The sequence below is a fragment of the Homo sapiens genome, chromosome 15 (genome assembly GCF_000001405.40).
Source record: "Homo sapiens chromosome 15, GRCh38.p14 Primary Assembly".
Taxonomy (NCBI): Eukaryota; Metazoa; Chordata; class Mammalia; order Primates; family Hominidae; genus Homo; species Homo sapiens.
In genome coordinates this window covers 47,404,816-47,429,581 of record NC_000015.10, presented here as the reverse complement: position 1 = coordinate 47,429,581, position 24,766 = coordinate 47,404,816, and the positions used below count along the sequence as shown (strand labels likewise).

The following is a 24,766-nucleotide window of genomic DNA, read 5'->3' as shown; positions in this document are numbered from 1 at the left end:
CATAATTTTGTTGGTGTTCTGTTGCCTTACCACCAAATATGCAATAGGGTGATAACACAATACGCTCAAAGATATTGCAAACCTAAGTCAGATAAAATCCCTCTTAGCAATTTACTCCAGATTTTTGAAAGAATGGCTAGATTCCTTACTTCATGACCTCTTGGAGCTTCATCTCATTTCCATATGTAATAACAATGTTATCTCACAGCTGCCTAACATTTTACTAACTTCCCAAACCTTTTTTAATTCTTACAAGAATGCTAAAAAGAAAGCACCTCATTGTATAAGAGGACTCGGAAAATTTAAGCAACTTATCTGAGGTCACACAGGTAGTAAGCAGCAGAGCCAGGAGTTGGCCAGCCTATAACTTCTAATGATAACTCTGGTGCTCTCTGCATGGTATCGTTATTCCCTCTAGGTACCTGCATCTGGGTGTTGGGCAGGCAACTCACACACCTCTCTTCTCAGGAAGCCTTACACTCACTAGTACTTGCTGTGGTCTTAGTGGGATGCCCTATTTTACTGGAATTTCCTTTCCTCCTGTCCTTTTCCTTCCTTCCTTCCTTCATTCCTTCCTCCCTCCCTCCCTTTCTTCTTTCCTCCCTCCTTCTTTCGGCCCTTCCTTGCTTCTTTCCTCCCTCCCTCTCTTCCTCCTCTTCCCTTCCTTCTTTCCACTTCTTTTCTTTTCTATTTATCCAATTACATAACACATTTGTATTGAGTACCTGAGTATTGACAATACACAAGGTACGTAAATACCAATTGCCAGGGAGACAAAAATCATAAGAAACCCATCTTACCCACTTTTTTTTTTCCTTGACAGAGTCTTACCCAGGCTGGAGTGCAGTGGTGCAATCTCAGCTCACTGCAACCTCCACCTCCCAGGTTCAAGTGACTCTTGTGCCTCAGCCACCTGAGTAGCTGAGATTCCAGGCCGGCACCATCATGGCCAGGTATCTTTTTTATTTTCAGTAGAGACAGGGCTTCCTCCTGTTGGCCATGTTGGTCTTGAACTCTTGACCTCAAGCAATCCACCTACCTTGGCCTCCTAAATCCTAAAGTGCTGGGATTACAGGTGTGACCCACTGCACCTTGCCCCATTTTACCCACTTTTAAGGGTAGATCTGCGCCTAAATACTTTTTTACCTCTCCATCCTTAGAACTTCTTTTGTTCTTGGAACTGCAGTACATGGTTATAATTAAAAATACTCTGGTCTTCTGCAAAGCTGGAGTTGATTGATGTATATTTACACTACGTGTTCATATTAGCCCTACAATGGGCTTGTAAAACCTTTGATCAACATAAACTCATTATTCTTTTCTCTTTATATGTCGTGGTGCTGGGTATATAATATGTGCTAAATAAATTCTCAGTGGTTGATTTATTTATCTTTGCCTCTATTGCAATATGAGCAGGTAGATGGACCATTTTACACCTAAATTTATCTATATATTGTTGTTATTAATAATGTTCAGCTTCTTCTCTCTTTTTTTACATTTTTTAAGCATAGATCTCTTGCATAACATGATGAAACACCTAAATCTTGCACATTTTCTGGTGAGCTATTTCAAAGTAATTTGTCTGAAAGAAATTTATTAGATTATCTTGTTTCGTATACCCCATTCTATTTATCTTTTCCCTAAGAAGAATATACAATTTCTCAGGCTCCTCAGAGAAAGAGAGAGTAAGAGAACTTTGGTAAGGGAGTTTAGGAAATCAAGAAGGGTTCCAATAGGATAAATAAGAATTTCTTCACTACTTCTGGGGCAGAACTCTTAAAGTTAATAACAATAACGATAAGGATAAATACCACAAATGAGAGTGCTTCATGGATTACAAAAGGCTTATAAAAGCACTATCTCTTTTAGACTTTGGATTCAATGACTCACTGTGAGTTAGAGAAGATAACATTATTTCCACTTCACAGCAAGTTTAAATGGTATCCCCAAGGTCACATATTTAGCAAATATTTGTAATGTCACACCCAGTGACCTTTCCCAAGTGTACATTTCTTTTTTGAAATAAATTCATTTAAGATATAAAAGATAGTATTTCTGAGATCAAGATTTTCCAAAGAATTTTCCACTGAATCATAATTCCATGGGCTGTTATAAAATGTGACAGAATGAAAAGGAGTGTAATAAGCTAAAACATGTTAAAATGTAATATTTCTCAGCGCATTTAACCTGCTGCTGTGCATGGTTGCATGCTGTGACTGTACATGAGTGCATAGCATCTCCCAGACCTAGTGGCTGTGGAGTATGCACTATACAGCAGGTTTGTGTGCAGTGTTTCTCAAACTTATGTGACCAAGGGATCACTCTATTGATCAACACCTTCTGCAGTTTGTGTCCTAGAACACACAGGATGGGCAATGCTGATCTCCATCAGTGCCTCCTTTCTCCCCATTAAAGTTGTTCATATTATGGATACTTGCAATGTCATGTCTTTAAATGAAATTAAATGATGCTATCACTGTAAATGAACCTTACTTCAATACAATCACAAAAGAAAATGCAAATACGTCTTATAACACCCTACTGGTGTTTGAAATTGCATTTGGTACCTGACTTATTCATTCCTTTTTACAATAGTTTAACCCATATAAAGAAGCATGTGATTTCTACCATTTAAACTCTATCAGTAAAATGATCATTATGTCTTTTTAACAGAAAATATTCTCTTCAGATTTATGACTTGCATCTGGCAGACAAAAACTGTGTAATTTATACAGTTCATTACCACAATTGTAACAAGAATAAAAATTCACAGCAGCCCTTAGGATATTATAAAACATATTCAAAACTAGTCCTTTCTAGCATTGGGCTTTACTTGGGGGAAAAATATTTGGTATTATATATGTATGTGTGTGAGAGAAAGAGTTTGAGTTTCTATACCCTGTAGGGAGTACGCATCAGGGATGTGCTATTATATGATAATGAAAATGTAAATAAAAGACCAAAATCTATCTTCAAATCTTTCCTTCTGTATTCCTGTGCTTTTAAACTAGCAGCTCTTGGGACAAAAGATTTTACTAGCAATGGTTCTAAGGCCCTATCCTTCCCTATATAAAGACCGCATCCTCACGTACCCCACAATGTCGGACTAGAAGACAGGTGATTCAATTAATCCTAATACTTGCCTGCAGGGTACTGATGATCAAAACTATTCTGTTTTGCTCTGCATCAGAAGCTCTGCAGGTTCTTGTGATAAAACGAGGACCCATTAGACAACAATATCAAATAAAACAGAACAAAATAACAAAACTCTAGCACCAAAGCCATGCATGGTGGTACATGCCTGTAGTACCAGCCACATGAAGCTAAGGCAAGAGTATCGCTTGAACCTAGGCATTCAAAGGTAGCCTGGGCAACATAGTGAGATCTCATCTCTAAAAACATAAATTAAAAAAACTCTTGCACTAAGATCCTAAGTAATACAAAATCCATGTGTATATTTTTGTAGAATTTGGAAACCTATCAAAAATTCACACAAAAGGCTTTCAAGACATGAGACAAATAGAAAAAGTAGCATTTATTAGTATATAGAGCATAACTAAGGAGTGTCTTACAGGCTATTTCCCCTAATTATTACAAAACACCTGCCTATAGCCAATACACACACAAAATCTCCAGCAGAAAATGATTAAAAGTAATTAGAACAGGTGTTTATTAGGCTGGAAAATTAGAAGGGAGACTTTAGATCATAAATGGAAGAGAATAAATTTGTTTCCAGTCCTAAAAGTGTCCCCAGATTCTGTGAAAATTTGAAAATGGAGGAAAAGGTACCTTTACCTCGCTTTACCTCGCTTGAACCTGGGAGGCGGAGGTTGCAGTGAGCTGATATCATGCCACCGCACTCCAGCCCGGGTAACAGAGTGAAACTCTGTCTCAAAAAAAAAAAAAAAAGAAAGTATCTTAAATACCATTTAGGCACAGTGAAACAAATTTCAGTTGCATTTAAGAAGAAGGTGTGGCATATAAAACCACAGCAGTATTATTCCAAGGGGTAAAAAAGCTAAAGCACAGTACAAGGAATTAATGTTCCTTTTGAGGGTGTCCTTGATTAGCCCATTAGCCTTGTAGGCCAACATGGATCAAACATAGGATTCTGTTGGGGGTCAGAAAGCAATACCCCAAAGTATGGTGCTTTGGCTTGCTGAGCACTTAGAACTAAAAATAAATAAAAATAAATAATTAATTAAAAGGTCTTAGAGGCAGCCTCAGAATCAGGGACTTTCTGTCTCAGGTTTCTCTTCTCACTCACCAACTGCAGATAGGGGATCACTCGAAAAGCTCCCCTATCTCGCTGAGGAAACTTTTTCCTCCCCCAAAATAATGTAATTGTCTTGAAACTTCCTCATTAAGAATTTCACTAAATAACCAGGGAAGGATTACCCACCAGAGAAGAGAAAAGACTAAAAGTCATCACCACAATATGACAGACTTTTCAATGATTCCTCTGAGGGAAGCTCCGGGAGATGGCCTGGAAAACTTTATCTGCATAATAAGACAAGTTCACAGTGCAGTTTCACCCCTCACCTTTCCAAAACTGGTTGCCATCACCTCCAGAGCTCAGAGGAACCTTGTCCCAGACCATTTTCTGCTTTTGGGGCTCATTTGACTCCCCTAAAAATCATTTACTACCCTTCAAAATTGCCTGCATCTCCCACCTCCCTCTCCCAGATTAAGAGGCTATGTAAGCCTCAACCAACTGGCCCTTTTGAGTCTCATATTTTGTATGACTCCCATGCACACGTTCACATTAATCAATTTGTATGCTTTTGCTCCTGTTAATCTATTGTCAGTTTATCTCAGAAGACTTGAACCTTCAGAAGTGGAAGGGAAAAATTCCCTTTGCCCCCACAATTCATATATCTTATTCAAACTTATTCTACCTACATCAGTAGGACCTAGCTCTGATTTTTATTTTCAGATTTCTGACGCTCTACCACTTGCTTTGCACCAAGGATATTCATTACATTGTTGGGGGATGAATGGATGAATAAATACATTAAAAAATAACTCTAGGATAGAGACAATGTCTCAGATATTTATTCTGAACTTACTTTCCAAGTTATTACAAACCGATAGGCTCTAATTTGACTGACACTTATGGTAGACAAAATGTTTATTTCATTAAAATCTGTTTTATTTCATCATAACTGATCTATAGAAGCAATTGAAAGCACAATTAATTTTTTCTTTTCAAAACTAATTTTCTTTTTTTTTTCTTATTTCATGAAATGTATGCAATATCTTACGGCTCTGTATATATTCTCAATCCTTCTCTTTAAATTTCCATGTTAGACATCTATTTTCGATTACCAGCAGGAATTAGAGGTATTGGCAAATAGTCACTAGGTAGTCTTCTAATCAGAGGATGTTTCGAGTGCACTTTCCTAGTTAGCATAGCTACTCTCTAAACAAATACACTGAGTAGCATGACAATTTATTAATTCTATACATGCCATTTGCTGCTTCAGATATTTTTCATCTCTAGGCCTTCACTGATTTCCTATTTAAAATTTAATAAAGTTGCAAAATTCCATGACTCACAGAATCATTCTCTGAGCTTTTGTTATATTAGATATAAGCAGAAAACGTGAGTTCTTTGTCTGTCAATTATGGACAAACAAATTATGCCTGGTTGCAATGGTAACTGTCATCTTTAAATGATTTTAGTATTATTTAGTACTTTGAGCAAGAAAAGCACTTGGAAACAGTAAATGCTAAACTCTGGTGGGTTTTAGACAAACCCCACCACCAAGGCACAGACACATACCTGTCCCTGCAAAACAAGACTGTAAAAGAATAAAATTAGAGCTTGCTTACTGGGTCCCTTAAGTATGAGGAAAAATCCATACTCTAACTTGTTTACTGTAGTGGTGAATATTTCATGTACATCAAGACACATTATTGTATATCCAAAACATGAAGTACAATTTTTCACTTGAGGAAAAAAAAAATGATTTCTTTATCCTATGTATTTGTAGTTGCTGTTTTTCTTTAGTATGTCATCTAAAGGTTGAATTGTAGTCTATGTTTCTTTGATGAGAACTAGGAGTTTCATTAGACAAGGTCCCAGGAGGGCTATCAAGTATGTTATTAAATAAGCTTTGACTTAAGAAAGCAAGAAGGCAGATTCAGAACAACTGTAAGCATTCAAATAATTCTAAGAACAAGAAAGGCTATTTACTAGCAATCTTTTATGTGGCTAAGAATGCCTGATAGGGGCTGATGGTGAAGATCATTTATCAATGGAGTAAGTCTGAATTCTAGGCTCCAAGGCAGCTATAGTTTCTCAAATACACTTGTGTGAGTCTCTATTTTTGGTGTGCAAAGCAGGTAGTGCTTGGGTTGTTCTGATTGATCTGAATGTTCTATCACCAAAAGCCAGAGTTAAATGTTCCCTAAGCATAAGAGGTGTGGCCCATCACTTTATAATATATGCATTACAGCACACAGAGAAGTGACTCAGAGTCATTCGGAAGAAACAGGAACTCTGCTTATAACTCTTATTTTAGCAAAAGGCCAAGCCTTGCCTTTCAGTTATATATCTTTGTTAAAGGTTGTTTTAGCCCAAAGGTCTTTTTTTCTCCTCACTCTTACCAATTTCCTTTAGGGTTGGGTTTCTGTTGCAACTGAGTTGTTTTGATGATAATGTTTCCTTTAAGATGATTATTTGTTTAAAGTTCAGGCTAATAAAAATAACATCCCATTAAAAATATTCTGGAGAGCATAAGAACATTTTAGGATGTTAATTGCTCATGTTAACCAGTCATCCGTGAAACATATGCCAAAAATGCTCTGAAAGGTTCCAAAATGCCTCTTGCAGTGATAAATCTTTTACAGGTATGATTATGTGGAAGCAGAAATAAGAAAAAGTACATCCAACATCTGGAGTCAAATGGTTTACTGAAGTAAGATTACAAAATTAAATTTAAATGAACTTAATTGAAAGGGGAGGGGAATCTAATTTAATATGGACATTCATCATGTCCTCATTGAAGTTTCTTCTAGCACCAGAAAAATACAATGAAGTCTGAATACAAAAGTTGGATAAAGCCTCTAATGGAGTGTGAAAAGATGACCAAAGAGACACAGTCAGGCAGAATATATTCTCTTTTTCTTTTTGCCATTTAAATGACATGGAATACCCAACTGTTTTGAAAAGGTAGTATCAATCAAGAAACTGAGCTTGGAAACTTATCTGTTTTAACTGTCTCTACTGTTTGGAGTTTCATTGTACATACTTCATCACTTAAAGATGATGATTACTAGGTTTGGTTTTTAATTCAATGATACCTGACTAAAGACTCCAACAATATGCAGTTATAAGAAAATGGAAGGAAGGAAGGAAGGAAGGAAGGAAGGAAGGAAGGAAGGAAGGAAGGAAGGCAGGCAGGCGGGCGGGCAAAAAATAAGAGTGTTAATTTTAAATTAAATCACCTGACCTTTGGTTTTCATCCTCTAAAGAAAAAAAAATAAACAATGGACCCCCTTAACATTGTGGTTCTTAGTTCTTGCTGAATAGTTTCGGTCTTCCTAGTTCTTAAACATTCTGTGCTCTGTGTGCTAAGGAAGATGTGTGAAGAAATCAAAATTACACACTATGAAGTTACATATCTATAATTACGTGGAGACAATAGAATTTTATTTTATTAAATTGATTATTTATAGATTCTAGAAAAGACAGTCAAATGTTATTTTACTGTTTGTAGTCCTACACACTATGGACATTGCTAGAGGTTAACTTTATGATAACTTCTTACCATCAACTGACACTCAGGTTCCCATCATCTCATCTTTCCCTTCAACCTCATAAATATTTAGTTTTTGTCATACATGTCATTGGCACCTTTACTTCTGATCCCCCCTTATCTAAAAGAGAGTCTCCTAATACCTCCCCATCCCAACCACAAATCTAATCTCATATGGTACACACTCATCAGTCAAGTGGAAAGTAAAGGCAAAAAAATCCTTAAGCAGAAAACTGGAATGAACAGTTGCAGATGCCAGAGAAACAGGAAGCATCAAAAACAAAGCATTAAAATTAATCTATCACCTGAAGCCAAAACCAAGGAGTAGATGATAAACATAAATTATTAGTGCATATTTATTTAGGAACTACTCTTCATAAGTGCTGAGCACTTTCAAATACATGAGGGTAGTTAAACATAGCAACCCTGTGATAAGAAAATAGAGGATAATAGCACTTCACTGATGTCTTCAGCATTGTATAGCTGGTAAGTAGCAAAGCCAGACACCAGTCCCAGTCCTTTCTTGTCATATCCAATGCTCTTACTCTATATGGCACTGCCTCAGAAACTGCAGGTGGTGAGAACCTGAGATTGAGAACCTAAGGGAGAATGAGGAGTATAACAAGGGGACTGAATCTTGTCTTGGAATGTCAATAAAGAAATAACCAATGGTACAGGTGAGGATGAAAAGTGAATAATTTTAACTGTTAAGAAAAGTTCATTTACCTAAATCATGTGTTCTTCACTGACTCGTATCATCTACTTTCAATAAAAAGTCCAAACATATTAGACTTTAAAATCCTTGCAATATCTCTACATTGTAAGATAAGAAGAGAAATAGCAATTTTATGCTTCATGATAACCCCAATGGTACTGATGGTCTATGTCACTAATTGTGATCGTAATTCTATTCTTATCTACTTCATATGTACATTTTTTTGTTCTAGAGAACTGAATAGCTGCCCCTAAGGTCACAAACAGAAAATTACTTTTTGGAGACAGTGGGCCTGAGGCCTTAGATTTCATTACAACTTGCATTTTATTATAGTCCCATAGAATGACTGATCATAGGTAGTGCCTCCAAAAACTATATGAATATTATCATCCTTCCCAAAAAGATGTTGGTTTTAGAATTGTTTTAGATAAAAAGAGGAAAAGTTAACAGTCACTTATGACTCAACAACAGTTCTCACATCTGTTCAGCAAAGGCAGAATATCAGGACAAACAATGGAGAGGGCCACTAGGACTTGCAATGCACATACCTTCACACAGCTCAGAATGCACAAAATAGAAGATGGGCAAAACTATGGGGCAACTAGCATGCACAGAGGGGGAGAAGGCAGTATTTCCAGAGACATTGGAGGCAATGGACATACATTTATTCATTCATTCACAGCATCAAGGAGTAGAATAGGTTAGGAGAGAAAATTAGGGGAGGGGGAAGAAAGGTTTATAAATAGGTTGAGGGGAGAAACAGCAAAGATCACAAAAGAATGCTTTAAATGACGAAAATCAGTTTCACAGTTAGTCTGTATATGACAAGCCCAATAATACAATGTTCTACTGTTGAAGGAAGGCAAAGGTATCCTCTGATTAAAATTGAGCTATTGGGCTCTGTAATGATGAACTCAGAGGGAACCAGCCCATTCAGTGTAAGACCACCAAGCTGAAGGCCACTGTTTGGCTCAACTTAAGAGGGTATCTGTGTGTTCTGAGCACATCACCCTTCTGAAGGATAACAGTCTCCTCAGCAACAGTCAATCACCACCTGACAGCTCTTCATGTTCTTGGAAAGGTCCGTCTCACCCCCAAAACTTGCATATAACTCTCTTCCCTCTCAATGCTCATAGCCTCACCACCACCACCTGCCCTGGACCAGCAGACCAGCTATTATTGCACCATGGCAGATCAGTCACCACATCAGCCCAGCACTTCCAGGTCATCTTTTATCTCCTCTTCTCTAATCCTCATGTGGCTTTGTTCACTACTTGTTCTGATCTTGGCCTCATACTTCCTGAAAGTCTTTCACTGAATCCTCTGGGACTTGAGGTCAATCATCAGTAAATCTGTTTATTCTCTACTTCCTATGGAAACTTCTCTTTCACCTTTTTGCACTAGTTGAAATCTGACTTTCCAGATAACGCCCATTCCACTAAAGCCCTTTCAAGAGATAGCTTTTACTCTCCTAGATCCCTCTTACCAAGGAGCATAAAAGTATAGTAGGTGTCCTCCATGTTCTTCATTACTGTGTCCAGGCCTTTTGTCCTTCTTCCTCAATAAAACTCCAGCTTTCTCTTTCATGGCATCAGGCTATACTCCCCTTCTCTTGTTGGTGCTTCCTCCACCATCCTCCAGTTCATTCTCCCTCCATTCATTGGAGATTTTAGCATATGGCTCATTATCACTTTCTCTAATACTATCCTTATTTAATTTTTGGCCATTTTCATATCCAATGGCATGATCCTTCCAATATCCTGTTTCTCAGTTTCTGGACTACTTTGCTTTTAGAGATTTCATCAGCCATCCTTCTTGAGCCACTCACTTCCACAGTCAAACACTTGACTTTGTGGTGATCAATAACTGCACTCCTTGCAAAAATCTCAATTTTAAATATTCTCTTCTATGATCATGATCTCTTATTTTTCCTGATCACTCCTTCTAACACCCTAACTCCTACAATTCTAAAATCCCACAAGGACCTGAAATTCACTCTCTGTGTCTCTGAGACATAGCTCTCTCATGAAATCCTCTCTTCCCTCTTCTCTCCTTTCCAGCTTAAATTCCATAGAGGATCATTGTAATATTTTCCCAGCTCCTTTTTATCTTGGTGAACTTTCCTGGTGGAATCATAACCCTCCTTAAACTCAATCAGATGATCACTGTATGCTTGCACTTACGCAGTCTAATGTGACTGACATTTGGTAAACAATCAAAAGAGAACTTTCATATCCTGTGACTACCATCTCTTCCCACCTATCCACACCTTTCCTGTTCTTACAGACAAGTTCTTTGTGCTCTTAGTCAAGGTCACCTTCTCCACCTAGGCACAGGACCCTATCCTCTCTTGCTGAAGTAATTGAAGCAGTCTCCTAAGTGGTCTACCTACTTATGCCTTCCCTACCCACCCTGAGTTTCTTCCTACTCTGCTCTGAATGTTCATGTTCCGCCAAAATCCTTATGTTGAAATCCTAACCCTTTAGGTGATGGTATCAAGAGGTGGGGTGTTTGGGAGGTAATTAGGTTATGAGGGTATAGCCCTCAAAAATGAGATTATTGCAATTTTAAAAATCCCAGAGAGCTTTACCGCCTCTCTCACCATGTAAGGACAAACAGAAGGCTCGGCCTATGAACAAGAAAATGGGCCCTCACCAGACACTGAATTTGCTGATGCCTTGATCTTGGACTTCTTAGCCTCCAGAACTGTGAGAAATAAATTTCTGTTGTTTATAAGCCACCCAGTATAGCAGCATGAACAGACTAAGACACTCTCGGCATGGCAGCCAGAGTGATCCTTGTAATGATTCAGACTGAATAGCCTCCCTGCTAATTTTCAAGTATACTACCCATTCTCTTGTCTCAGAGCTTTTGCACTTACTGTTCTCTCTGCCTAGAACAATCTTCCTCAGATTTCTGCCTGGCTTGCTGTCTCACTTCCTTCAAGTCTTTTTCTCAGAAGGTATCTACATAGAAAAGCTTTACCAGGCCACTCCATGTAAAGTTCAGCCCCATATACCATTTCATATCTCCTCTTTTTTCTTTTTGCACACATCTATATATAAAATATATATGGGCATATAAAATATATAAATGCTATATTTTAGATATATTTATCCATGCATCGTTTATCTCCTCCATTGAAAATTAACTTCCTTGAATGCAGACATTTTTATCTGTTGGGTTTACTTCAGTATCCCCAATACACAAAACACTGTCTAGCAATACCTACATGGTGATCGATAATTTGTTCAATGAATGAATTGCAAAAAAAAAAATGGATGCATGAGTGATTAGGAAAAGAAAAAACAAAAAGTGATTAATGTCTTTCACATGGAAAATTAATATTTAGAGATGTCTATTTTTACCATGATATCCTCCATTTATGAAACCAAGATTTCAGGGGATCCAAGGATACAACAGTTGTCATGGTAGTGCCATGACAATATGGCACTACAGCTCATTGAAAAACACACCAAAACAACATTAAGAATTAATACAAATCCTGAACAATTCTAAAATTACTATTTTTAATCGCAGTAATTGTCACTCCTTAAACAATAGATATTTGGTAAATCTTGCCCCTTCAGGCAACCTCTGAAAGTTTTACTTTTGATAACTCTACTTTCTCAGACATTGATATTCTCTCTCTCTCTCTCTGACACACACACACACACACACACACACACATATACACACACACAGTATAAGCAGATAGAGTCTAAAAGGTAAAGTACATAACCATGGGATGGTATGTCAGAGCATATCTTCTTGCCTGATATGAGGATGAAATCATAATATGATTACACAATTTACGTTTCTCATCTCCCCTTTCCCTCTATCTCTAAAACAAATAAATATTAAATATTCAAGCTTTTAAAATGTTTCTGGAATCATGTTTGTGCCTTTTACAACAATATCGTATAATGTATCTTTAGATATTTAATTAAAAATTTTTGCAGGTGGTTGATAAAACACATTATTAAGAACTATAACTCCCCTTTCCCCTCAATTTAGCAGAATCCTTTAGTGATAAAAAAGATTGCCTTTATCAGAGGCTCTCAATCTGTCCCAATTTTTCATAAGTCACTGAGCTCTAACGACATTTTGTCAGATGCAAAACTTGAAAATAAAAGAAGAAAATTTGCTTTTGACTTTATTACACCAAAAATGTCTGAGTGATAGATGGGACCATTGCAGTTATGGCGGTTCTCGGGTTCCTATTGTTAGTCATGGGCTATTTTGATCAGCTGCAAAGTAATAGGGGGTGACTAGAATAGAAAATACTTGCAGTTTTCTGAAGCTTCACAAAACGCTAATAAAAATAGCTGAGATTTTAGAGACCCTACTAGAATCTCTGTCAATTTCCATAATTTTCTGATCCTCTTCCTGGGAAGGGTCCTAAGGAGCTCTCTTTGCTGATTATATCTTACCTCCACACTGGCTTCGGGGAGAAACAGAGGTCAGTGATTGAACAGAGAAATTACCTTTTGAGTTGGAAATGCTAGAAATAATAGACGTAGCCAGACCCGCCAGATTGTGAGTACACTGTTTGACTATTAGTAGTATGATCTGCTATGATGATTTCAAACTAATTTTCAAGCTAATTGAGTCAGTTATAAACACATGGAAATTTGGGTGGAGTATTTTAGGACAACATTTCCCATACTTAACCTTATTCTCATCTTAATTCTCTTTGGTTACTTTCCCAGATTAGTTTCCGAATTTTGTGACCAAGGAAGGTTTAAATTAAGTTCTAACATGAGGACAAAACAGACCATACCCAGGCTTGAAGGAACTATTAGTTACTTTTGTTCTCTTGGGAGAACAAATTGGTAGAAATGAGGGTGGATTTTAATTGTCACAGAAGGTACAAATGATGCTGCCATGTGATTGGAGGTCTTGGGACTGGGGAAGAATATCGTTATCATTAGGGAGGACCATAGTGCACACAAGTAAGTATCTCCACAATGGTGACCTTGGCATGGTGTGCAAACTTTACTCCTAAATAAAAAATAAATGGATGATACTCTTGGTTGGTATTTCATATGTCAGGCAATTTCTTTGACCCACATCCATTATGTTAACGTTCTTCTCTAGCACTCTGGATGAAAATTTGGGCCACTATGTTTAACTTCATCCATTATTCATAGTCCTTGATTGCTTCTAACATTAGTACATGAACTGGGAGCTCTGAAAGATTTTTATGTCATGTGTAATTGTTGGAATTTCCTGTGTATTATTTAAGTTACATTTTCCAACAACTTGGCTTTATTCTTAAAGGATGTGTGATCAACAGTTCTTTGCAAGGGCAAAGATTATGGTATGTTCCAGCAAATTGTGTTTGTTGACCTAAGACATTTCCCCCCACCCCCAACTCATATTGATTGTCTACAACATTTGTAATGAAACAGAGTCAGAGAGTAAACTCAGGGCTATGGGGGTATATTTGTCTTACAGATCAAACACTTAAAGCAGGATTTATGGAAGCGGAGGGCTGTGGGTCAATAGCTAAAAAAAACCTGGATTGTAAACAATCAAAGGACTTTCTGAGGTGTGAAGGAGAGGAGAAAGGAGACGGGAGCGGGTAGAGAGGAGGAGAAGGGGCAGGAAGATACACAGGGTTTGCTGTGGTAGGAAGTCTGCATCTGAAAAGAATTAGAGAAAAGGAGGTCTGAGAAAGACGGCTTTACCACAAGGATCAGTCCCAGAGACCCTTTCTACTCCCCTTACTGACAGGGATTGTATTGTAAACATTTCCTCTATAACCTCCCATACTCTCATTTGGAGTAATTTTAGAGCACTGAAATTTTGGATCAGTGCATTAAGAACACTAAAAATAGATACACACACAATTCAGGGAAAGTTATAATGATTGCATTTTGTTGTTATCATAATTTAATAAGAGCAGTCAAGTGTATTAGAGCTCAGAGCAACTGTAAGCCTTCATTCAATGTAAAAACACAGACCAGATCGATGAAGATGCTTTTTTGACCTAATGTTCAAATCAGACAAGTGCTATTAATAAGGAATCAACTTTCTAGCAATACTAAATTCTGTGTAGTGATTTGAAGTCCCAAAAAGTATTTTTTACTTATTATTTTATCTCCAGCTAAGTCTACAGAGAATAGAGTAAATATTAAACCCCTTTTACAAATTAAAAACTAAGGCCTGCCATTTAAGAGACTATTTAAAATCTTAGAGACAAAAGAAGAAAAATCCTATCCAGCAAAATCAGGTATGGTTTTAGGATTAAGATTGAGGTACATTGGTGTCTACATTAGTGCTTTTCTACTCTGTCACTCTACATGATTATATTATTTCTCAAACAAGTCTATCTGTTCAACAGTGTCCTCATATGCAGAAGTGGAAAAGGATTCTGTATGGTCCTTAGTTCTCTACAGAGACAAGAGGCTCCAAGGCTAGTTCTAAGAAAATCTTCCCACTTTCTAAATGATGCAAGTCAATTTAGCATGGTCTACTGGATTTCTTTTGTAGACTTTCACTTTTGATAACAAAAAGCATAATTTGATATATACAGTTCAGATGAAATGATGACTTCTGTGGTCCAGATGTGAGTTGTAGGCCACTTCCTTGGAGGCTTATAATTTCATTAAGGCCAATCACATGCGTGTTTCTCTTACTTTTTTTTCCTCCTCACATTGCTCAACCTTGGGGATTTTTAAAAGCCCTGTTCAGTTTAACTCAGCCCCTTCTGACATCTAAGATTTAATGACTCTAATTAGGATGTTATCTTAAATTCCATGTATGTATGAGGAAACCACGACTTATGTATAGAAGTTAGGCTTTGGTGGTAGTTCCTAGAAAGCACTTCTAAATCATGAAATAAAACATGAAACTCAAGTGCAAAGTTATTTAATTTTCAAGGGGAATGTAATATTCAGATAAAAGAAACCATAATGATACATTCATTTACTTTTATATGCATAAAAGTGTGAAGTTATATCATCACTTCCAGGTATCAGTTTAGGTAATGCATCTTCCAAGCTATTTTACAATCATTCTTCCATTGTTCCATAAATAGATTTTGAAAATACAAGCTATTAAACTAAAAGTTACTGCAATAATATGACTGAATAAAGCAGCAAGGCAATTTGAGAAGAATATACTAAAAGGACTAAATATGAATGCTGAATTTCCAAAATACATCCTTCAGAAATTCACAGATGTAAGGCCATGGTCAGTATACAAGAATGAGCAAATCAGGCTGTTCAAAGTCACATTTTGCTCAGTGCACCATGGATCTGCTATAAGACCACATGAAAATGGGGACTAAGAAATATATAGAAACTATATTAGTGGCCGAATGCAGTGGCTCACCCCTGTAATCCCAGCACTTTGGGAGACCAAGGCAAGAGGATCACTTGAGGCCAGGAGTTCAAGACCAGCTTGGACAACACAGTGATACCCTATCTCTATAATTTTTTTTTAATTAGGAAGGCATAGTGGTGTTTGCCTGTAGTCCTAGCTACTCAGGAGGCTGAGGTGGGGGGATCCTTTGAGCCTAGGAGTTCAAGGCTGCAGTGAGCTGTAATTGTGCCTCTGCACTCCAGCCTGGCTGACAGAGCAAGCCTCTGTCTCAAAAAAAAGAAAGAAGGAAAGAAAGAAAATATATTAAAATGGTAGCTCTCAGAGAACTGAATGTACCAAATATAGTCTCACTCCATGATGATCTGGCTTAAAGGAAGATGGTAATGGAATGGGTATTATGTTTTTAATTTAACCTATTAAACAAAACGGGGTTCAAAGAATCCACCGAGGCCTAGATGATCTTGTTTGACTGTTTAACCCTATCATGGTGCAATTTCTACTTTATATTGAAAATGTTTCCAGAGATGGTGCTCTCTTTTATTAAGAATGTAAATTTTAATTATTACTTTTTTCAATATTATATTTCGGCCTCAGATTTAAGGGAGGGAGTATATGTGTGTTTGTCCACACATATATGTAAATACACATACACACAGAGGAGTGGGAGACTTCCCTTTTCAAAATGAACTTCCAGTAACACAATTTGCCATCCGTCTGTCAACAGTCACCATTATCACTCTCTTTTTAAGTAATGGCATACAGATGTCTCTGACAGCAGCAAGTGTCCAGTGTGTGGAGGTGCACTGTCATCGGCCTCAGAGAGTCTTCATTTTTACGTAATCTCCTAACTAACTGCAAATGTGGTTGTTTTAGAAACCAAATATCTGGACCCATGTTAAGGGTATGACTGCCCCATGCAGAATTGAAAACAGAGTCATTTTCCCTTTCTTTCTCCCCATTGATCTTAAACTCTGTGTCTCTTTGTGCTGTATAATCATATCTCTTCTGAATACACGTAGTTTCATTGTTCAAAATGGAAACCATTTCCTCCACTTAGTCCAATGATGCAGACACTTAAAAAATCTAATTATTAGTTTCCCTATTTTCACTCGTACCAACAAACACTATGTTCAGTACTTATGGATTATGGATTTCTCTTGTGTTTGCTATGGTTTTGCGAGCAGAGATCTTTACTGATCAAAAAAGATATACCTAAACAACTTCAGTTTCACATCTAATGGAAAAAGGCAGAACCCAGTAATATTTACTGTCCTTCGTTGTTATATATTTAAATCTTACCACTGCAAGCAAATGTGAAATCCTTAAATTGCTGGCCTCAGTGTTCCCATGTCAACTGGCATATGCTCAGGTTGGAGATCCTGCCAAAAGTCAAAGGAAAACATTCATGAAACAGAGCCTGATGGATGATTATTCTAATCCTGTCTGCCCAGCACTGCCGGCAAGCTTGGTTTATAAATGCCTGCTGCTGCTTTAATGATAAGACCTCTTAAACACAGCTGAATGCAGCGCACCAGTGGATTTTCTTTTTTTTTCCTCTCTCTGCCCTAACTATGAGACTGATTATTGATCTCTACCTGGATGTTCCTATTGCAAACAGGCTATTCATGAATACAAGCAGGACAAATAATGGTACACTGCCTAGGGAGTTTTAATAAACTGCAATCAGGACATGGTCTCTGTGGGGGAAAAAAGTAACCAACCCAATTTTAATGAAGTATGTGCTTACGTGACTGCAAAGTCTGTGCACACAGACTTTGGCTGTGGGCCACACATTGGGCCACACATTGGGTAGTTGAGGGCAACTGCTTTTTTCACTGAGTCCCTTGTCACAGTGGACAAGGATAACCTATACTCTTACTCAAGAGAAGTTTCCAAATTCCCTCTATTGACCTTGAGATGAGGCTCTGAGGGCTGGAGTGAATTTATCTTGTTCTGACCACGCTACTGGAATAGAGGGATCTGAACCCGGAAGTGGCCACACAGACACAGAAGAAATGCGAGCCCATGGAAGCACTCAAGAAACCCAAACCTGAAGACAGAGGGGGTGAAAAGCAGCTGAATTAATATCCCTAGGAGTTCTATGAAGCCTCTTTGAAAACCAGAGAAACCTTAGTTTCAGAAATAGGGCAAGGTGTTTTAAAGTTAGAAAATGTCAGACTTTGTCATTCTTAGATAAGTTTTTGTTCTACCGGTATATGAGTGTGTATGTTAGCTTGTTTGATGCTAAGAGGAGATATAAGTTTTATATTTACCATCTGCTAAAGTATTTTTTTGGAATAACACACTTGATATTTCTGTATTTCAATAAAATGAAGCAGAACTATAGGGGTAGTTCTTCAATGGCAGGCATGCATGCAACTGTGAATATTAAAACAAGAACTCAATCCCAGCACTTTGGGAGGCTGAGGCAGGCGGATCACGAGGTCAGGAGATCGAGACCATCCTGGCTAACACAGCGAAACCCCGTCTCTGCTAAAAATACAAAAAATTAGCCGGGCGTGGTGGCAAGCGCCTGTAGTCCCAGCTACTTCAGAGGCTGAGGCAAGAGAATCGCTTGAACCCAGGAAACCGAGGTTGCAGTGAGCCGAGACTGTGCCACTGCACTCCAGCCTGGGCAACAGAGTGAGACTCTGTCAAAACAAAACAAAACAAAACAAAAAACTCAGCTAAGGAATCATCTGGAAAATGAGGACCACCAAGAAGAAAAGCTGATACCCTACACCGTGTCCACCATGGCATGAGTCAGGCCACAGCCACTCATCTCCTTGTATTTAAGTGGAGAGAAAAAATATTTTCTTTGAAAAAATTAAATGGTATGTTTTCCATACCTGTATTATGGTCTGAATCTTGCATTATTTCACCATTTCAAAGACCAAAGAATCATTTAGGGTAGTATTATCATTAGGTCAGTTTTGTTAAAGACTGAAAATATTTGGGCAAGTATTGAGAATGGGTGTTTTCAAATGTGAGTGTGCATAAGAGGTTTTGGAGAGTTTGTAACAACACAGATTCTTTGGCCTTACTTCCTAAAGATTCTGAATCAATAGGTCTGGGCTGGGGTCCAGGGCTATATGCTATATATTTTCAAGAAGAACAGGTCATTTTAATGCACCTACCCCAAAGATCCAATTCAATAACTAATTAGTAGAGGCCTCCTTCAGATTCACTTAATGAGAAAACCTTTTCTGTTTAGCCAGCCCCTTGTATTATCTGACTATGGTCGACAAATGAGGAGCACCGAATTTAGCAGAAGTATTTGTAAGAGGAACAACAGCTATAACATTTAAAAGGGGAACTGGCTTCTTACAAATCAGAAACTGCCATCAATAAAACATGTGAGTAACACTTATTTGGAGGGCAGATATAAACCTAGATTTGTTCCAGTGTGTTTTGATGCTTCTTGCACAAATGAAGCTATTAAGCCAAAGAAGCCAGAGGCACACTTCCCATCACATATAAAAACGTTCTAGCCAGGTGCAGTGGCTCCTGCCTGTAATCCTAGCAACTGGAAGTCCAAGGCAAGCGGATCCCTTGAGCCCAGGAATTCAAGACCAGCTTGGGCAACATGGAGAAACCCCTTCTTTACCAAAAAAAAAAATACAAAAACAATTAGCTGGGCGTGGTGGCACATGCCTGTGGTCCCAGCTACTCAGGAGGCTGAGGTCAGAGGATCACCTGAGCCCAGGAGGTTGAGGCTGCAGTGAGCCAAGCACTCTAGCCTGGACGACAGAGTCAGACCCTGTTTAAAAAAAAAATTTCTTAAATATTTGGTTCTAACACCGACTTTCAGAAATAAAGTGTTGCATAGAGCTTTTAGCCTAAAATCTAAGACCTGCCTCCCCACCCCCCCCACAACCCCGAAAATAGTTTGCAAATTTTATGAATTTACTTGTGATGCATTTGCTCCTCCCATCCCTTCCCCACTCCCAGCATGTCCAGGGCTTGCATCAGATTTTTAAGGTGGACTATGACTCAACAGATTAAGAGCCTTTGGACTGGTGGTCTGAGGATACTGGTCTTAACCTTAGCTTGGCTTCTACTTGGTTTGGTGGCTTTTGACAAATAACTTCACCTCTCTACAACTCAGTTTTCTCATCTATGAAATAAAAAAGCTGAATTAGAAAAATCTGAATATTTTTCCAGCTTCACAATTCTAGGAAGTGCCAATAAAATTGAGAGCAACAGGCTGGAAGGTATCTTGACATTAACATGTCTTTGGACTAATCTCCTTATTTATGGGGGAGGAACTGAAGTCCAGAGAGTTTACCATATTCTGTAGTATGTGGGAGATATCATTATGGTGGAAGATCAAAAATGGAACCCAGAATTTCCAACTCATCCACCAACTCACTCTTCATTCTAATACACAGTTAAGTTTCTAAAGCTCTGTTTCCAGCTCATACTTTCTCATTGGCTGAGGGTGCATTTCAGGCAGGATTTTCTTTTCTTGGCAGAGAGAGGGGTACAATGTGTTCCCTGGGGCTCTCTCCCACATTTCCTCCAGGAGAGAACATATGCCCAGGTCCTCAGAGAATTGTGCTCCCACACTCACAGCTGTACGATAGGCAAGAAAAAGCTGTCTACAAGCTTAAATAAACTATCAGCATTTGCAAAAGTGCTCTGAGGTGTCTTCAGGAAGTGTTCCAGGAGAATTGCTATTCTAAAAAGATCACTAGGTTCTCTTGTCCTGGATTTTACCCCACACTCAGACAATAATACTTGAAGTGCATCAGTGATACTAATCTATTTATCCAAAGTTCAACATTCAGTAAGTACAACTGGCAACAAAACAGACGGAGTCCTTGCACTCATGCAGATGAGTGTCCAGTGGGGAACTATAGCCTCCTGCAAGCTCTGCTGCACTCCTGCCTGTGTGCTTTGGAATGGAGGGAGAAGCACCTACTCCCCAAGACAGAGGCTCATGCTTCCTTCGAGCTGCCCTCTTCTAAATTACAAACATAGTTCTGGGAGAATCTCTATTATCTTAGCATAAATCAGTTTATCCAAATTGCTTTCGTTAAACCTAACAGCATCAGGCTCTGTGTGTCTTTCCTCATTGTGTCAATACCTATTTGCTTATTAACACTTTACTTGTCCAATAATACCTAGATCAGATTCCCCCTTTTTAATCTCTCTGTGCAATTTTATCTCGACATACCTTAGAATATACATAGCAACCTCATTTATTTCTTGGTTATAGCACTGGAAGTGGAAGAATTTTCAGCCTTTACTAGTGTGCAAGCATTATAAGTTATTTAGTTTACCCTTTTTTATAGATAAGGATAGTGTGATATAGAAGGAAGTCAGAGTCATTGTTAATAAATTGTTATAAATCAAAAAGAAGGTAGTGGAAAGTATATTTTTGTTAGTTTTTGTTCTGTGTATGTTTTCATAAGATATTTAAAATATATTACTTAATCTAAGTCTTGAAAACACTACTCAGTAGATACATTATTATGCCCCATTTACAGATGCAGTAAGTCTCAGTGGGGATAAATAACTTAAACCAGGTCAAACAGCTACAAGTTGTAGCTGGCAGAGACGGGGCTCAATCCCAGGCCTGTCTGAGGATGCCAGAACATGCCAAGGTAGTTGTCTTACCCACCACCTCTCTCCACTTCCACACCAGGTCACAAGGATGGGAGGAGAAAACGCTGAAATTTACTGAGAAAGGGGATTTGGACAGCGCAAATGAAAAACCGCAGGTCCTTGATAACTTGGTTAAGAGTCCTATCTACTGCCCTCCTTCTGAGGCCCAACCTCAGACTGCCAGTCTTCACCACGTCCTTTCACATGGAGATTCCCAACACCCCCACCCCACCACCACCACCAAGGTGCAGAAAGGAGGGAGAAGGGGTGAGGGCGCCATCCCCCTGCGAAAGGATGATGCAAACTGACAGCAGCATCTGCAAGCATCTGAGCTTCTGGCTGGTTATCCATCCAATGTGCCTTGACAATCATGCTAAATCTTTAAGTCTCAGAAAAGATAAGAACTCACAGTTGTGGAATGTAAAAACTGCAGGTCTGCACTTTGTGTATACCACTTTTAAAGGGCACCTCCCAATCCTCCTTTCCAAACACTACCCACCTTATACATATATGAGGTATTTGGCAGCTTTTTGCACCAAGAAGGTGGGTAGGAACTGGGCTTGACAGATAAATGCATCAACTTCTCTGCTCCTCAGTAACAATACTACATCTACTTCAAGTCAACATTTCCAAATATTTTTGTAACAACGACAGCCTAAGTACCTCCAAAATAATGATGAAAATCACACATTCTGGTTGTTTGGAATTGTTCACTTTATTAAGTATTTTTGTTTGTTTTTTTTGTTTTTTTTGTTGTTGTTGTTGTTGTTTTGGTTTTTTTTTTTTTTTTTTTGAGATAGAGTCTTGCTCTGTCAGCCAGGCTGGAGTGCAGTGGCACGATCTCAGCTCACTGCAACCTCCTTCTCCCAGGCTCAAGCGATTTTCCTGCCTCAGCCTCCCAAGTAGCTGGGATTACAGGCATCTGCCACCATGCACCATGCCCAGCTAATTTTTGTATTTTCAGTAGAGACATGGTTTCACCATTGGCCAGGCTGGTCTCAAACTCCTGACCTCAGGTAATTTGCCTGCCTCACCTCCCAAAGTCCTGGGATTACAGGCATGAGCCACCCCCCGGCCCGGCCTACAACATTCACTATTTTCACTTAATTTCCACCACAAAAACTACATAAAGTGAATAGGACAGTTTTTTGTTTTTAAATTTACAGTTTGCTTTTTTCTGTTTTTGTTGTTGTTGTTGTTGTTTTTATTTTTGTTTTTGTTTTTTGAGGTATGACTGACAAATAAAAGTAGCACACATATCTAGGGTACACGATGTGATGTTTTGGCATGGACATACATTGTGAAATTATTACCACAATCAAGCTAATTAACATATCCATTATCTATCACCTCACAAGTCACTTCATTTTTTTTTTTTTTTTTGGTGGTGAGAACACTTGAGATCTACTCCCTTAGGAAACTTCGGGTATACAACACATGATTAATAACGATAGTCACCATACCGTACATTAGGTCTCCAGAACTTACTCATCTTATAACTGATGGTTTGTACCCTTTGACCAACATCTCCCCGTTTCCCTACTCTCCAGACCCTGGCAGCCACCCCTTTACTCTCTGTCACTATGAGATTGACTTATTTTTAGAAGTCAGAGTAATTATTAATAAATTATTATAAATCAAAAGGAAGGAAATGGAAAGTGTATTTTTGTTAGCTTTTGTTCTTTGGTATGTTTTTATAAGCTATTTTAAATCTGTTATTTTATCTAATTCTCAGAAAACACTACTCAGTAGAGCTATTATTATGCCCCATTTACAGGTGCAGGAAGTCTCAGTGGGGATAAGTATCTTAAGCCAGGTCAAACAGCTACCAGCAGTCGAACCTTTTCCTCCATTCCAAATTCTTCAGGCAACATTATCCATGTCAGAGTCATCTAGGTCCCTGATTTTGTTGCCCTCGCTATGTTCATATAGACTGAGCTTTGTTGCTTTTTCACTTTCTCCAGTAGCTGCTGATGGTAAAGTTAGCCAACTACATATATGCAAAGTTTTATATGAGAGATAATTTGCACACTCAGTCAAACCTTTTCCTCACTCCTTTCATGGGTTCAGGAAAAGAAAGTTGAAGCCTTGTGCAGAGAATAGAGAACAGAAAGGATATGCTAAAGCAGCTTCCTTTCAAAGAGCAGTTCTCAGGTCTCCTTGCATATGGCCCTCGTGAGTGAAAGTGTGGCAAGTACTTCTGAATCGCTGTAGGGCATGTGGCTCTGCATACATATGCATAATGTCCTTTTCACACTTTGGAGCTACCAGATGCCTGGTTCTGCTGGGAAGAGGTTTGGTAACCCACTTGAAATTACGAGGATTTGTAACTCATTTATGCAAGCTGCAGACCCCTCTAGATGACATCCCCTGCTCTAAAGAATGATTGAGAGAAGCATGTAATAGAGCTGAAAATGACACTGAAATATTAGCAGTGCAGCAGAGTTTATATGAGGCCCCCAGCTAGATGAGGGAATTATACAAGTCAAAAGAAGAGGCACGCCTTCAGGCAACACGAGAAGCAGAAAACAAAGGAAGCAAGAACTGTCTAGGTGTCAAGGACTAATTTTGTTGCTATGGGAAAGACCCTGAGGCACTGATTCATTTTATAGGCTGGTATACAGCCCTGATCCTGGACTCCTCAGGCTAGTAAGTTAGGTGAAGCTCCTCCTCCATTCCCACTTGACCCTTAAAATGACTTAGCCCTCTGAGGTAGTGGAATGGGTTTGGGGGGTAGTGGAGGAGGGTGATGTTTAGGATGGACTCAGACTAGGTCCTGAGCCTGTCTGAGATGAGACTTTGTAACAGGCTGGAATCTGCCTCTCCTGGAACCACTCTGTCTCCAACCAAATCCTTCCCCACCAGCTCTCCAAATTTTGTTCAGAAACACTAAGCTCATGCCACCCCCTCCAATCCCTTACAGTCTCCATCCCTCCTCCCTGCTACTAACACACTCCACTCAGGAGACTAGATGTCTGCTCCTCAGAAGAGAACACAGAGCCCTGAACAGCCCTGTCCTTCTTTTCAGCTCTTGCTACATGGCGCATCTCCTGAAACACTTCCAATATGCCCTGCCTTTGCACTGCTGCTTGCTCCTCCTGGAGTGCCTTTCTCACTTCTCCCCCTAGGGACATTTCCTACTCATTCTTTAAGAAGCAGCTGCCACTTGACCGGCGGTGAGGTGAAGACTTTCTCATGACACCTTGCACACATCTCTACTTGACCACTTAGCACTCTCCACTAGAATTCTATGCTACATATTTTAGCATGTATGAAACTACAGATTTCTGGAGTGCAGGAGCAATGCTTGCAAATGTACCTTTTTATCCTTTACACTGAGCAAAAT

General features: G+C 38.7%; 1 protein-coding gene across 1 annotated transcript in view, besides 1 other annotated feature; it reads right to left on the bottom strand.

Annotated features, from left to right (window-relative positions):
• Window positions 1–24,766, bottom strand: part of SEMA6D (semaphorin 6D) — a 590,140-nt gene that overhangs the window by 344,647 nt on the left and 220,727 nt on the right. The window contains exon 2 of the mRNA NM_001198999.2: window positions 17,110–17,189. The gene's annotated coding sequence lies outside the window, so the exon portion shown is untranslated. The remainder of the gene's footprint in view (window positions 1–17,109; window positions 17,190–24,766) is intronic.
• Window positions 23,232–23,980: an enhancer, noted in NCBI's record as "OCT4-NANOG hESC enhancer chr15:47697799-47698547 (GRCh37/hg19 assembly coordinates)". NCBI's record gives its function as "activates a minimal SCP1, AML or CMV promoter by ChIP-STARR-seq in primed H9 embryonic stem cells {active_cell/tissue: H9 hESC(primed)}" and the evidence as "EXISTENCE:reporter gene assay evidence [ECO:0000049][PMID:30033119]".